Below are 15,390 nucleotides of genomic sequence, written 5' to 3'. Positions count from 1 at the left end.
ACAACGTGGAATATTATGGGGCCAGACGCAGTGGCTCACGCCTGTAATCCCAACACTTTGGGAGGCCGAGGCAGGCAGATTACCTGAGGTCAGGAGTTTGAGACTGGCCTGGCCAACATGGTGAAACCCCATCTCTACTAAAAATACAAAAATTAGCTGGCTGTGGTGGCACACGCCTGTAGTTCCAGCTACTCAGGAGGCTGAGGGAGAGAATCGCTTGAACCCAGGAAGCGGAGGTTGCAGTGAGCAGAGATTGCGCCACTGCACTCCAGCCTGGGCAACAGAGCAAGACTCCATCTCAAAAAACAATAATAATAAAAATTAAAATAGAAGACGGGCGCAGTGGCTCATGCCTGTAATCCCAGAACTTTGGGAGGCTGAGGTGGGTGGATCACGAGGTCAGGAGTTCAAGACCAGCCTGACCAATATGGTGAAACCCCGTCTCTACTAAAAATACAAAAATTAGCCAGGCGTGGTGGCGTACGCCTGTAGTCCCAGTTACTCAGGGGGCTGAGGCAGGAGAATCTCTTGAACCCAAGAGGTGGAGGTTGCAGTGAGCCGAGATTGTGCCACTACACTCCAGCCTGGGTGAGAGAGCAAGACTCCGTCTCAAAAAAAAAAAAAAATTAAAATAGAATATTATGCAGCCATAAAAAGAATAAGATCGTGTTCTTTGCAACAACACAGATGGACCCGAAGGCCATTATCCTAAATGAATTAACGCAGGAACAGAAAACCAAATACCACACATTCTCACTTATTACAAGCAGGAGCTAAACCTTCAGCACACGTGGGTACAAAGAAGGGAACAGTTGACACCGAGGCCTACTTGATGGTGGAGAGTGGGAGGAGGGTGAGGATCAAAAAACTACCTTTCAGGTACTATGCTCATTACCTGGGTGACGAAATAGTCAGTATACCAAACCCCCACGATACATAATTTACCCACGTAACAAACTTGCACATGTATTCCCTGAACCTAAAATAAAAGAGAGAGAAAAAGATCTTATGCCTCCAAATTTTCAGACCTAGTTGAACAATATTATGGAAATTTTCTACTAAACATTGAAGAAAGACTGTAGGTAATTTGGCATTCTAGAATCTAAAGCAAGAGAAAAGTTTAGAAGCAACACTGTCCATTTAACAAGCCTAGTAGAATGCTTATATCAAAGCCCATCCAAACGAATGTGTTAAGAAATGTACATGCCAACTTCATTTATAAATATTGATTTTAAGATTGTAAATAAATTATAATAAGATAAAACCAAGCTGTGGGTTAAAACAAATGGGCAAAGTCAAAGGTATATTAAGGAAATCTGTGTGTACTTGAGTGCCCTAATAGGTTGAAGGAGAAAAATCATATGACTCTCTTCTTGATAGAAGCCAAAAAACCATCAGACAAAATTCGACAGCTATTCCTGATTTAATAAAAAGGCATATTAAAACTCCCTAGCTGGGTCTTTCCTCTCAGAGGTCCCCACTCTCTCAATAGAGAGAGAGAACTGTTTTTCTTTCTCTTTCTTCTATTAAACCTCTGCTCCTAAAAAAAAAAAAAAAAAAAAAAAAATCTCCCTAACCAACTTCAAAAAGATGGGCCCTAACATCATCAAGTATATGAAGAATTAGGCCGGGTGCGGTGGCTCACGCCTGTAATCCCAGCACTTTGGGAAGCTGAGGCAGGCGGCTCATATGAGGTCAGGAGTTCGAGACCAGCATGGCCAATGTGGTGAAACCCCATCTCTACTAAAAATACAAAAATTAGCCAGTTGTGGTGGTGCACGCCTGTAATCCCAGCTACTCTTGAGGCTGAGGCAGGAGAATCGCTTGAACCCGGGAGGTGGAGGTTGCAATGAGCCGAGATCGCGCCATTGCACTACAGCCTGGGCGACAAGAGTGAAACTCCATCTGAAAAAGAAAAAAAAAAAAAAAACAATATGAAGAATTAATCACAAATGCCATAACTAATAATAAAATACCAAATACCTTCCCATTAAAATCAGAAACAAGGTAAAAATGCCCACTAACGTCTATCATTTTGATTGAACAAAGCCAAAGGAGGTATGAATGTCAATATACAGATAGCCTTGCAAGAAATAAGGGTTTCCTTAAGGCTGGGCATGGTGGCTCAAGTCTGTAATCCCAGCATTTTGGGAGGCCAAGGTGAGCGGATCACTTGAGAGTCAGGAGTTTGAGACCATCCTGGCCAACATGGTGAAACCCTGTCTCTACTAATGGTACAAAAATTAGCTGGGTGTGGTGGTGGGCACCTGTAATCCCAGCTACTCAGGAGGCTGAGATAGGGAGGATTGCTTGAGCCCAGGAGGTTGAGGTTGCAGTGAGCCTAGATCGTGCCACTGCATTCCAGCCTGGGCAACAGAGCAAGACTCTGTCTCAAAACAAACAAAAACTATGTAGTTATTTTTTAAAAAACTAAAAATACAAAAATTAGCCAGGCATGGTGGCATGCACCTGCAGTTCCAGCTACTTGGGAGGCTGAGGCAGGAGGATCACCTGAGCCTGGGAGGCAGAGGTTGCAGTGAGCCGGGATTATGCCTCTGCACTCCAGCCTGGGCAACAGAGCAAGACCCTGTCTCGAAAAAGAGAGAGAGAGAGAGAGAAAGAGAGAGAGAAACAAGGCTTTCCCATTTTCTTCTTCTTTTTAAAAAATTTCAGTGAATGGCTGGGCGTGGTGGCTCCCAGCACTTTGGGAGGCCGAGGCAGGTGGACCACCTGAGGTCAGCTATTTGAGACCAGCCTGGCCAACATGGCGAAACCACATCTCTGCTAAAAAAGAAAAAAAAAGACATAAAAATTAGCCAGGCGTGGTGGTGGGTGCCTGTAATCCCAGCTACCCGGGAGGCTGAGGCAGGAGAATTGCTTGAACCCGAGAGGCAGAGGTTGTAGTGAGCCGAGATTGCACCACTGCACTCCAGCCTGGGTGACACAGCAAGACTCTGTCTAAAAAAAAAAAAAAAAAAAGAAAAAAAAGAAAATCAGTGAATTTCAAACATGAGTGACCATTCTCCCAGGTGATGGAAATTTACTCCTCGTCATAATGAGAGTGTTCCCCTTTCTGACAGCAAGCAGGGAGGGCTGTCATTTAGTGTCAAGGCCTCCAGAAAGGAGGATCATCTGACTCTTGAGTGTCCACACTGGCTAAGATGTATTTTGTTTTGTCTAGGCTTTGGGTACTGGTGATACAGGTAGCTGTGGTTTTGTTCCCTGTTCTCAGCTATGAACATTCTTCTGATCTGTGTCTCTTAGCTCCTTCTGCACCCCATTTGGGCATGTGGGAGCTTTAGGTGGCGTGTGTGCCTACTTCGTGGGAGTGTTCAAGGTTCTTTGCTACCTTTGGGCTCCTTCTGGACACACATCAAATTGTTCTGCTGCTCCGCCGGGGTGCGTGAGAACCATGTGGGCTGCCAGACCCAGCTCCCCTGCTGTGCCCATAGCCTTTTCACTGTCTTGCCACTTCCCAGACTCTACTTAGAAAAAGGGCATGGGTCCCTTCCGATTCCAGCTTTCTGGCTTGTCAAGGATATCTCTTGTTCTCCTGCTGGCAGCTCGCCCCTTCCATCCCCCACCGCCCACTTACAGCAGTTTTTTGGGCTTCTAGGGGAGGGGATAAGATGCAGGGACACATCTCAGATTCAAACCCACATGCTTCTCTCTAATTCTCCTCTTTCTCTGCATCTAGAGACTTCTAGTTAAAGAAGCACTTATCAAACAATCTATGATGGAAGACCAGTTTTGTTTTATTTCCAATTGTCATGAATTAATCTTTTTGGCCTGTACACTGTTGAATGAAATGAGTCTGCCAATCATGCACTTGGATATTGTGACAACATCATATTGCTGTAACAGCTGCTAAATGTTTGTTCTCAATATCTGTACTTAACTCATCATGGACAGTAACAGACAGTTCATGGATCAGCAGGGGTCCAGGGGCCACAGTGTGTAACCTGGTATAGAGTGTCACTCGCCTCATCTGCTATTTCAAGTCTGAGAAAGATGGCTGGGTGCAGTGGCTCATGCCTACAATCCCAGCTTTGGGAGGCCAAGGTGAGTGGATCGCCTGAGGCCAGGAGTTCGAGACCAGCCTGGGCAACATGGTGAAAATTAGCCTGGCGTGGTGGCGCATGCCTGTAGACCCAGCTATTAAGGAGGCTGAGGCGGGAGAATCACTTGAATCCGGGAGGCAGAGGTTGTGGTGAGCCGAGATTGCGCCACTGCACTCCAGCTTGGGCAATAGACTGAGACTCCATTTCAAAAAAAAAAAAAGACAGAAAGACTTTAGAAACTAAAAATTTCAAGAACTTGACTTCCTTTTTCTACATTCTGCTGTGTCATTCCTTCCCTAAGCCAGTAGGCACTGAACACGCTAGCTGCTGCCAGGCTGGAGAGAAGCAGTCATGGGGTCACAGAAGACAGTAGAAATTAAATTGTATCAGTTAACACAGCAACTTTCAGTCTTGCTGTAGAAATGAGAAGTATGAAACTGGTACAAAAAGAAAAAGGAAAGAAACAAAGATGAGCAACTAATCATAATTTGTGAACACATTAATTGCAACTTACAAAAACCAAGAGGATTTTTCTTCTTTATTTTCCGGCGTCTACATTAAGGACACAGAGATTTTTTCAAAAAGCTGTTTGCACTAATAAGAGAGCTTAGCAGCAGGATAGATGATTACAAATAATATCAAAATTGAGAGAACTTCTACTCTACTAGAATAACATTTAGGAACATTGTCTCATTCACAATAACTATAAAACAAAATACTTGAAGATCAAATTAATAGAAAGTTACTGAAGATAGTAACCCAGCTTTTATTAGTTTTATAAAATAATCTTCTTAAGTATCTCAGTAAGATGTAATGATTTTTTTCAAACAAACAAAAACTATGCAGTTTTTTAAACTAAAAATACAAAAGTTAGCCAGGTATGGGGGTGCATACCTGTAGTCCCAGCTACTCGGGAAGCTGAGGCAGGAGGATCACCTCAGCCTGGGAGGCAGAGGTTGCAGTGAGCCAGGATCGCACCTCTGCACTCCAGCCTGGACAACAGAGCAAGACCCTGTCTCAAAAAAGAAAGGAGAGAGAGAAAATAAGGCTTTCCAATTTTTTTTTCTTCTTTTTTAAAAATTTCAGTGAATTTCAGTCGTGAGTGACCATTCTCCCAGGAGATGGAAAGATTATTTCATTACACTAGTAAAAGCTGGGTGCAGTGGCATGCACCTGTAGTCCCAGCTGAGGTGGGAAGATGACTTGAGCTCAGGAGTTGGAGGCTGTAGTGATCTATGATTGTGCCATTGCACTCCAGCCTCGGTGACAGAGCAAGCTGTCTCTAAAAACAAAACAAAAACCTAAAGTCTCAATATTATAAAGAAATGCAAATTCATCTACAAATGCAATTCCATTCTAATCAAAATCACATAGAAGGAGTGGGGGAATTCAACAAAGTGGTTCTGAAATCTATCTAGAAATAAAAGATTAATATAATAGCCAAGGAAAAGTCAAAGGGGAAACTTGAGAATACTTAACCTCTTTGATATTAAATGACATTACAAATCAGGCATGCTGTCTTGTGCCTGTAGTCCCGCTACTCAGAAGGCTGAGGCAGGAGGATTCCTTGAACCCAGGAGATCAAGGCCAGCCTGGGCAACATGGCAAGACCCTGTCTCTAAAACAATAAAATAAAATGGCATTATAAACCTACAGAAATTAAAACAGGGTGATTCTGCATAGGCATTGAAAGAAAAATCAATGGAACAGAAACACTATGCAAAAAGAGTCACAAATATCAGCAAAATTTTGTATGTGATAAATGGGCAATTAAAATCACCAGAGAAAGGATAGCTTGTTTAATAAATAGTGTTGGAATAACTAATTAACAAATGTAGGCTGGGCCCATTGGTGCATGCTTGTAGTCCCAGCTACTTGGAAGGCTGAGGCAGGAGGATTGCTCGAGGCCAGGAGGTTGAGGCTGCAGGGAACCATGATCACACCACTGCAGTCCAGCCTGGGCAACAGAGCAAGAGTCTGTGTCTCAAAAAAACACACCAAAAGACAAGTGGCCCAGTTCTGTGGGCTCATGTTTGGATTGAACTTCCTCATCTCTTAAAGGAGGGCGTCGCCACATGACTTGCCTTGGCGAGGAAATGTGAGTTCAAGCAATATGTGTCATTTCTGAGTAGCGGCTCTAACCGCCAGTTTCACTTTCCCTCTGCCACGGTCCTAGAGTGATCGTGATGCACAACAGAGCCCCGCGTTGACCCATAATGAACACAAAGTGCGAGAGTGAAGTACACCTTTGTTGTGTTAAGCCACTAGATTTGGGGGTTTCTGTCATGCAGCATATCCCAGCCTACCCTGGATGATACAGTCTCTATCTCATACTTCACACCTGTTAGAGGAAAAACAAGTCACCCCAGGAAATTAGAAACATGAATGATTAGCATTTGCTGGGAGTATCTGTGCTTCCAAAGAGGGTGATAGGGAGAAGCCATTGTTTATTCAACAGAGTGAAGGACCGGCTACATAACTTGTAACTTGTGGGGCCCAGTGCCAAATGAAAATGCGCAGTCCCTTGTTTAAAAACTGATTAAAAACTTCAAGAGGGTGACAGCAGAGCATTAAATCAAGCACAGAGTCCCTCTAAGCATGGGTCCCTGGGCGTCTACACAGGTCACACACCCAGGAAATCATGAAGCATCTTTGGCTGTGTCTAATTGACATGTCTGCATCCTCCCTTTTCTCCTGAGCCAGTTTCTACTGCTCTGCCTCAGATTATACTTCCATGGGGCAGTGAGGTTGATGTCTGTGTGTCATTCATGAAGTGTTGATACAAATATCACCTCAGTGAAGCTAAGCCCCCAGGCCCCATGCTACTTATCTCTGATCCTGATTCATTTTTCTCCTTAATACTCACTACCATCATAGTATATATTTCACAAATTTATCTTACTTACAAGTATTTCCCCTAGTAAGATGGAATCCACAAGGGCACAGATTTTTTTTTTTTTAGTTGAGTCTTGCTCTCTTGCCCAGGTTGGAGTGCGCTGTTGCAATCTCAGCTCACTGCAACCTCTGCCTCCCAGGTTCAAGTGATTCTCCTGCCTCAACTACCCAAGTAGCTGGGACTACAGGCGCCTGCCACCACACCCTGCTAATTTTTGTATTTTCAGTAGAGATGGAGTTTCACCATATTGGTCAAGCTGGTCTTGAACTCCTGACCTCAAGTGATCCACCCACCTCAGCCCCCCAAAGTGCTGGGATTACAGGTGTGCGCCACCATGCCCAGTTAATTTTTGTATTTTTAGTAGAGACGGGATTTTGCCATGTTGACCAGGCTGGTCTGGAACTCCTGACCTCAGGTGATCCACCCACCTCCCAAAATGTTGGGATTACAGGCGTCAGCCACCACACCAGGCCAAGGACCAGATTTTTGTCTATTTTGGTCACTGTGTAACCTCAACATTTAGGATAGCCTGTCAGATAGCTGGGACTCAGTAAATGTTTGGTTTTTGTTTTGTTTTGTTTTGTTTTTGAGACAGGGTCTTGCTCTGTTGCCTAGGCTGGAGTGCAGTGGCACAATCTCAGCTCACTGCAGCCTCTACTTTCCTGAGCTCAAATGACCCTCCCACCTCAGTTTCCCGAGTAGCTGGGACTACAGGCACATGCCACCATGTTCAGCTAATTTTGTTTGTTTTTTGTAGAGATGGGGTCTCACTATGTTGCCCAGGCTGATCTCGAACTCCTGGGCTCAAGCAATCCTCCTGCCTTGGCCTCTCAAAGTGCTGGGATTACAGGTGTGAGCCACTGCACTCTGCCAATATTTGTTGAAAGAATGTATGAATGAATTTAAAGAATATCAATTGACTGGGCATGGTGGCTCACACCTGTAATCCCAGCACTTTGAGAGGCCAAGGTGGGTGGATCACCTGAGGTCAGGAGTTCGAGTCTAGCCTGGCCAACATGGCGAAACCCCGTCTGTACTAAAAATACAAAAATTAGCCAGGTGTAGTGGCGCTTGCCTGTAATCCCAGCTACTCTGGAGGCTGAGGCAGGAGAATCGCTTGAACCCAGGAGGCAGAGGTTGCAGTGAGCCAAGACTGTACCACTGCACTCCAGCCTGGGCAACAAAGCAAGACTCTGTCTCAAAAAAAAAAAAAAAAAAAGAATATCAATCCAAGAATATAAACAGGCAAAGTATACACAGAGAATATACATAGATGCCTGTTACATAACAGACAAATACAAATTGGTGAGTCCATCCATTCAACGATATTTATTTATTTCATTTTATTTATTTTTTTGAGATAGAGTCTCACTTTCAGCCAGGCTGGAGTGCAGTGGCGCGCTCTCAGCTCACTGCAACCTCCACCTCATGGGTGCAAGTGATTCTCCTGCCTCAGCCTCCCGAGTAGCTGGGATTACAGGCGCCCGCCACCATGCCTGGGTAATTTTTTGTATTTTTAGTAGAGACGGGGTTTCGCCATGTTGGCCAGGATGGTCTCGAACTCCTGACCTCAGATGATCCGCCTGCCTTGGCCTCCCAAAGTGCTGGATTACAGGCGTGAGCTACCATGCCCAGCCAACAACATTTAATGCTTGCCTCTCAAGTCACTGCATCACATCATCCTCTGGGGCACAATAACAACCAGACCATAGAAAGTACCCTTAGGACACTTCCTGTCCAGTGAAGGACTTGGGTGCTTGAGCTATTGCTGCAATTTTTTTTTTTTTTAGACAGGGTCTTGCTCTGTTGCCCAGGTTGGAGTGCAGTGACACTATCTCAATTCACTGCAACCTCCACCTCCCAAGCTCAAGCGACCCTCCCACCTCAGCCCCACAAGTAGCTAGTACCACAGGTGCGCACCACCACGCCCAGCTAATTTTTGTATATATATTTTTGTAGAGACAGTGTTTTGCTATGTGGCCCAGGCTGGTCTCAAACTCCTGGACTCAAGTGATCTGCCTGCCTCGGCCTCCAAGTGTAAGCCACTAAACCTGGTCTCATTGTTAGAAACCTTGACAGCAATTGCAAAACATGATTTCATAGGATGTCATGAGGTTGGGCCCCTATAGGAAAAAGATTATTTTTATTTATTTATTATGATTATTATTTTTGAGGCGAAGTTTCTCTCTTTCGCCCAGGCTGGAGTGAAGTGGTGCGATCTCAGCTCACTGCAACTTCTGCCTCACGGGTTCAAGAGATTCTCCTGCTTCATCCTCCCGAGTAGCTGGGATTATAGGCGTGTGCCACCAAGCCCGGCTAATTTTTGTATTTTTAGTAGAGATGGGGTTTAACCATGTTGGCCAGGCTGGTCTCAAACTCCTGACTTCAGGTGATCCATCCACCCTCAGCCTCCCAAAGTGCTGGGATTATAGGCATGAGCCACCGCGCCTGGCCTCTTTTTAGTTTTATTTTATTCTTTTAAATCAGCTTTACTGGAGTACTATCTGTGTTCCATAAAATGTACCATTTTAGGCCGGGCGCGGTGGCTTACGCCTGTAATCCCAGCACTTTGGGAGGCCGAGACGGGTGGATCACCTAAGGTCAGGAGTTCGAGACCAGCCTGATCAACATAGAGAAACGCCATCTCTACTAAAAATACAAAATTAGCCAGGCCTGGTGGCGTATGCCTATAATCCCAGCTACTCAGGAGGCTGAGGCAGGAGAATCACTTGAACCCGGGAGGTAGAGGTTGCAGTGAGCCGAGATCGTGCCATTGCACTCCAGCCTGGGCAACAAGAGTGAAATTTTGTCTCAAAAAAAAAAAAAAAAGTACCACTTTAACTATACAGGTTGATGCACTTAGATAAATGTATATACCTACATTCTGTATGCCTTTTTTATTGTGGTAAAAAAACATATAACATTAAATTTATGGCTAGGTGTGGTGGTTTATGCCTATAATCCCAGCACTTTGGGAGGCCAAGGCGGAAGAATCGCTTGAGGCCAGGAGTTCAAAACAAACCTGGGCAGCATAGCAAGGCCTGTCTTTATTTTAAAAAGTAATAAAAATAAAATTTTTTTTAAAAGGCAATAAAATGTTTTCATTATTTTTATTTTTCTATAGAGACAGGATCTCACTATGTTGCCCAGGCTGGTCTCAAACTCCTTAGCTCAAGTGATTCGCCTGCCTTGGCCTCCCAAAGTGCAGGGATTACAAGCATGTACCACCATGCCCGGTCTCCTCTACTCTTAAATTCTATAGCTGGGCCTGAGAGTTAAACTGTCAAAAGACAGATTGACAGGAGGAAAGTTTTATTTTGTGTTTACACAGGGACTTCACAGAAAAGAAGTGAAACCTAAAGCAGTGGTTAGGCCTGAGAGTTTATATCATTTTAACAAAGGGTGACAAATTGTGGAGAGGTAACTAGACAAAGAAAAATGGGTTTGGGCTTCTAGGGGTTGTAAACTGTGGGAAAGTAAATATAAGGGGGAAACTATAGATAGGTTAGATAAGGGGTATCTAGTAAGGTTCATTTACGCAGATTCATCTTGGTACCATCTCCAGTGATAATGGTGATTAAGCGTTATTCTACTCTTCCTGGTAGGGAGAGAAAGACACCCTTACAAATGGAAATTTATGTTCTGCTTTTAGGCAGAAATGGGAGGGGCAGTGATATGGTTTGGATGTGTGCCCCCTTCAAATCTCATGTTGAAGTGTGATCCCCAGTGTTGGAGGAGGGGCCTGGTGGGAGGTGTTCGGGTCATGGGGGCAGATCCCCCATAAATGGCTTGGTGCCATCTCATGGTAATGAGTGAGCTCTTGCTCTGAGTTCAGGCAAGATCTGGTTGTGCAAAAGTGTGGCCCCTCCCCCGCCTTGCTTGTTCCCACCATGTGACATGCCTGCTCCTGCTTCACCTTCCACCATGAGTGGCAGCTCCCTGAGTCCTCACCAGAAGCTGAGCCCTGGCTGATGCCATGCTTCCTGTAGAGCTTGCAGAACTGTGAGCCAAATACACCTCTATTCTTTATAAATTCCCAGCTTCAGGTATTCCTGCAAACACAGTAACACAGGCAGAGAGTTCTTCCGGTGTCTGCTATTTCTTAATTGGCTTCAGCTCAAAATAATTCTTGTGCCAATGTGGCATATTTTGGGGTGGCATAATCTGATTCCCTTCAAGGAGGACAGTCTAAGAGTGAAAGGAAGAGAGAGGAAGCCGTTGTTCAGTCTCCCCCACTTTGTTGCATCAACTCCCACTACCCAAGCCTTAGGCTAGCCTTTGGGCTTTCCTATCTCTGGCGTCTGAGCTGGCACCTCACATCACTGCTCTTCATCCAGGGCCCAGGCAGCCTCGCCTGTACAGTCCCTGGTGCCAGGCCTCAGCCAGGCCCTGGCTCTGGTCCTGCCCTCCAGCAGCTCTGACCACACCCTGGAGTCCCAGCCAGTGGCACCAAGCCAGGATACACAGTGAAGTTCCCTCAGTGTGAGCCACCAAAGCCAAGCCCCAGGGCAGGAAAAATGCAGAACCTCCAGGCTGCTTCAACTAGGGCTCCCTGTGTCCACATTCTCTCTCATTGTCTTTGTGTGCCCCACCTTCAGAACCTTCCTGGTTCTTTCCCACACCTGTGACGTTCAGGAGAGTCTTTCTGGAGTTTTTGGAGCTGTTGTGTAAGCGCTGGGATTTTATATTTACCAGGGTGATAGTGTGGGAGGAAGAAAGTCCAGATCTCTTGCTTTGAAGAAGGATAACCCTGAGGCATAATTGACACCCCACAGCTTCCCAAGGGACAAGACTGAGACTGGAACCTCACATGAAATGCCACCCTAGCTCAGTTTTCTCCTTTTCCCTGACCTGCCTCCTTCATTCCCTTACTGTTTCCCCTGGAAGCACCTCCTTCATAATCTCTTGTACATGAATCCTCACTTCAGAGTCTATTTCTGGGGAATCCAGACTAAGTTACTGTGCTGTTTGGCTCCTGTTTCTCAAGTCATCAGTCTCCACAGAGAAGTTGGAACTGATCTTTTTTTTTTTTTTTTTTTTTTTTTTTGAGGTGGAGTCTCGCTCTGTCTTCCAGGCTGGAGTGCAATGGCGTGATCTCGGCTCACTGCAACCTCCGCCTCCCAGGTTCAAGCAATTCTCTTGCCTCAGCCTCCCGTGTAGCTGGGACTACATGTGCCGGCCATCACGCAAGTCTAATTTTTGTATTTTTAGTAGAGACAGGGTTTCACCATATTGGTCAGGCTGGTCTCGAACTCCCGACCTCAGGTGATCCGCCCACCTCAGCCTCCCAAAGTGCTGGGATTACAGGCGTGAGCCACCATGCCCGGCTGGAACTAGATCTTCAGGAAACTTCAAGTTCATGTTCTTATAGTCTCACGGCCAAAAAGGAAAAAAACACTCTTTCCTACCAGCTCCAGGTAGAAAGATGCCGGGGAGAGTTCTTCTTGGCCAACATGGGTGGCTATCCTTCCCTGGAACCATCACCATGGACAGGGAACTATGGTCCTGCAAACTCGCCAAGAACTACTTGATTCGAAAGGGGCTGAGTATGGAGGCTCATGCTTGTTTGTAATCCCAGCTACTGTGGAGGCTGAGGTGGGAAGATCGCTTGAGGCCAGGAGTTCAACACTAGCCTGGACCACACAGTGAGGCCCCATTTCTACAAAAAAATACAAAAATCAGCCAGGCATGGTGGTGCATGCCTATAGTCCTGGCTACTCAGCCGGCTGAGGTGGGAGGATCACCTGAACCTAGGAGGTCAAGGTTGCAGTGAGCCATGATGGTGCCACTGCACTCCAGCCTGGGCGACAGAGTGAGACCCTATCTTCAACAAAAACTCAAAAAAGGCTGGGCGCAGTGGCTCACACCTGTAATCTCAGCACTTTGGGAGGCTGAGGCAGGTGGATCACTTGAGGCCAGGCATTCAAGACCAGCTTGACCAACATGGTGAAACCCCATCTCTACTAAAAATACAAAAATTAGCTGGGTGTGGTGGCAGCGTGGTGGCACACACCTGTAATCGCAGCTACTTGGAGGCTGAGGCATGAGAATCACTTGAACCCAGGAGGCAGAAGTTGCAGTGAGCTGAGATCACACCACTACACTCCAGCCTGGGTGACAGAGTGAGACTGTCTCAAAAAATAAAAGAAGACATTTTTCTACGTCCTGTATATCTTTCTCTAAATGCACATATTAATGTCTGTATTCACCTTGCTATATACGTATCACTATAACTATAAATCTATGTACCCTTTTTGTTTTTTTTTTTTTTTGAGACGGAGTTTCGCTCTTGTTACCCAGGCTGGAGTGCAATGGCGCGATCTTGGCTCACTGCAACCTCCGCCGTCCGGGTTCAAGCGATTCTCCTGCCTTGGCCTCCCAAGTAGCTGGGATTACAGGCATCGCCACCATGCCTGACTAATTTTGTATTTTTAGTAGAGACGGGGTGTCTCCTTGTTGGCCAGGCTGGTCTCGAATTCCTGACCTGAGGTGATCTGCCTGCCTCGGCCTCCCAAAGTGCTGGGATTACAGGTGTGAGCCACCATGCCCGGCCAAATCTATGTACCCTTACATGCATATTCATGCTCCCATCTTTCTCCAGCTTCCCGTCCCTACACGTCCATTCCCAGTTCTGCATCTGTCTGTCTTTGAGTGTTCTTGATTGGCTCTGCCCTGCTTTAGGCCCCATATAGCCCAGTGATGCTGAGCTGAGGCATTCGCTAATAATTAGAATCAAAGGTATCCGCACTCCCAAGCTTTACCATCATTTCTGGTGCATCTAAGGACATGATCAGCTGACTCTTGAGTATTGAGTACCCTCGGACAACTACTCCATTGCCATTCACCTGGAAATGGGGCATTGTTCACTCCTAGAAAATAAGGAAAAATGAACAAGTAAACAGAAGATTCTATACATCTTCTGGGAAGCCAATTTCTTTTATTGTGCCACATTTGTTTCAGAGCAACCAAAAAAAAAGTTAATCAGGAGTGGTGCTGTGCTATTTGGGAGGCTGAGGTGAGAGGATCGCTTGAGTGCAACAGGTCAAGGCTATAGTGAGCCTTAATCGCACCGCTGTACTCCAGCCTGAGCAACAGTGAGATCTTGTCTCAAAAGCAAAATAAAGAACCAACCAACAAGCAAAATCTGCCAGGTTATTTGCAAAGGGTAAACAAAAATTCTTTTATGCAAATATTTGTTAGGTCTTCACCCTCTCAATAATTAAATACTGCTTTCACTTACACTTGAATTAGTGGAACCATTGTGGTGAAAGGAGGCCACCTGTCACCTACCACAGCCCTTTGCGCATCTGGATCAGGAATATGGCAGAGTAGGTCAGCTGGGCAGTGCTTTCTCACCAGTAAGACTCCTCGGTGATCAAGACAACTTCTTCCAGGTTCTCTTCCTGGCTTAGTCACTCTTCCGGTTATCTATTTCTGCATTACAAATGGCCCCAACACTTCATCACTGGACAATTGATTTTTGTGTCTTATGGTTCTGCGAGTTCACTGGGCTCAGCTCAGCAGTTTTCATGTGGGATCTCTTAGGTGATTGTTGTTAGATATTGGTTAGTGCTACAGTTAGCGCAAGACTCAACTGGATGCAAATACAAGATGGCTCATTTATGTGGCCGGTAGGTGATGCTAATTGTCTGCTGAGAACTCAGCTGGGACAATCAACTGGAGAGTTGATGCACGGCCTTTCCAGGTGGCTCAGGAGTCCACTTAGCATGGGGGCTGGGGTCTGAGAAGGAGTGTCTCGAGAGCAAAGTTCCAAGAGAGCTAGATGAGACCCGTAAGGCTTCTTAACTCCATGCCCGGGAAGACACAAGATGTCCCTTCCACTCTTAAGTCACTAAGGTCAGCCCCAATTCAAAGAAAAGGGAATTTGCTGGGCGCAGTGGCTCACACCTGTAATCCCAGCACTTTGGGAGGTCGAGGCAGGCAGATCACTTGAGGCCAGGAGTTCAAGACCAGTCTGGCCAACATGGTGAAACCCCGTCTCTCCTAAAAATACAAACATTAGCCAGATGTGGTGGTGCATGCATGTAATCCCAGCCACCTGGGTGGCTGAGGCACAAGAATCACTTGAACCCTGGAGGCGGAGGTTGCAGTGAGCCGAGATGGTGCCACTGCACTCCAGCCTAGGTAACAGAGGGAGACTGTCTCACAAAGGAAAAAGGAAAGGAAAAGGAAAGGGAAGGGAAGGGAAGGGGAGAGGAAAGAAAGGAAAGGGGAGAGGAAAGGAAAGGAAAGGGACTTAGACTCTACCCCTTGAAATGCATTGCAGCATTCATCTACGGGGAGGGAAGGAAATGTCGGTGTCTGCTCTCTTCAGAGGTAGTTTCCCTTGGTCACTCACTGAGTGACAGATCACAAACAACCATGCAGTGAACAAGTAGATCTTGAGCTCCTGCCTCACACAGGCCTTCAGGA

General features: G+C 45.9%; 1 protein-coding gene across 6 annotated transcripts in view, besides 5 other annotated features; it reads left to right on the top strand.

The window, feature by feature from the left end:
• Positions 1-15,390, top strand: part of TMEM230 (transmembrane protein 230) — a 53,961-nt gene that overhangs the window by 28,224 nt on the left and 10,347 nt on the right. The window lies entirely within an intron of this gene.
• Positions 2,581-3,081: an enhancer, noted in NCBI's record as "H3K4me1 hESC enhancer chr20:5062418-5062918 (GRCh37/hg19 assembly coordinates)". NCBI's record gives its function as "activates a minimal SCP1, AML or CMV promoter by ChIP-STARR-seq in primed H9 embryonic stem cells {active_cell/tissue: H9 hESC(primed)}" and the evidence as "EXISTENCE:reporter gene assay evidence [ECO:0000049][PMID:30033119]".
• Positions 4,202-4,361: an enhancer, noted in NCBI's record as "active region_17507". NCBI's record gives its function as "activates an Ori minimal core promoter by ATAC-STARR-seq in GM12878 lymphoblastoid cells {active_cell/tissue: GM12878}" and the evidence as "EXISTENCE:reporter gene assay evidence [ECO:0000049][PMID:35858748]".
• Positions 5,867-5,936: an enhancer, noted in NCBI's record as "active region_17506". NCBI's record gives its function as "activates an Ori minimal core promoter by ATAC-STARR-seq in GM12878 lymphoblastoid cells {active_cell/tissue: GM12878}" and the evidence as "EXISTENCE:reporter gene assay evidence [ECO:0000049][PMID:35858748]".
• Positions 10,828-11,346: an enhancer, noted in NCBI's record as "H3K27ac-H3K4me1 hESC enhancer chr20:5054153-5054671 (GRCh37/hg19 assembly coordinates)". NCBI's record gives its function as "activates a minimal SCP1, AML or CMV promoter by ChIP-STARR-seq in naive H9 embryonic stem cells {active_cell/tissue: H9 hESC(naive)}" and the evidence as "EXISTENCE:reporter gene assay evidence [ECO:0000049][PMID:30033119]".
• Positions 11,347-11,866: an enhancer, noted in NCBI's record as "H3K27ac-H3K4me1 hESC enhancer chr20:5053633-5054152 (GRCh37/hg19 assembly coordinates)". NCBI's record gives its function as "activates a minimal SCP1, AML or CMV promoter by ChIP-STARR-seq in naive H9 embryonic stem cells {active_cell/tissue: H9 hESC(naive)}" and the evidence as "EXISTENCE:reporter gene assay evidence [ECO:0000049][PMID:30033119]".

The sequence above is a fragment of the Homo sapiens genome, chromosome 20, assembly GCF_000001405.40.
Source record: "Homo sapiens chromosome 20, GRCh38.p14 Primary Assembly".
In the NCBI taxonomy this organism is placed as follows: Eukaryota; Metazoa; Chordata; class Mammalia; order Primates; family Hominidae; genus Homo; species Homo sapiens.
The sequence above is the reverse complement of the archived record's forward strand: the minus strand, read 5'-3'. Positions and strand labels throughout refer to the sequence as shown.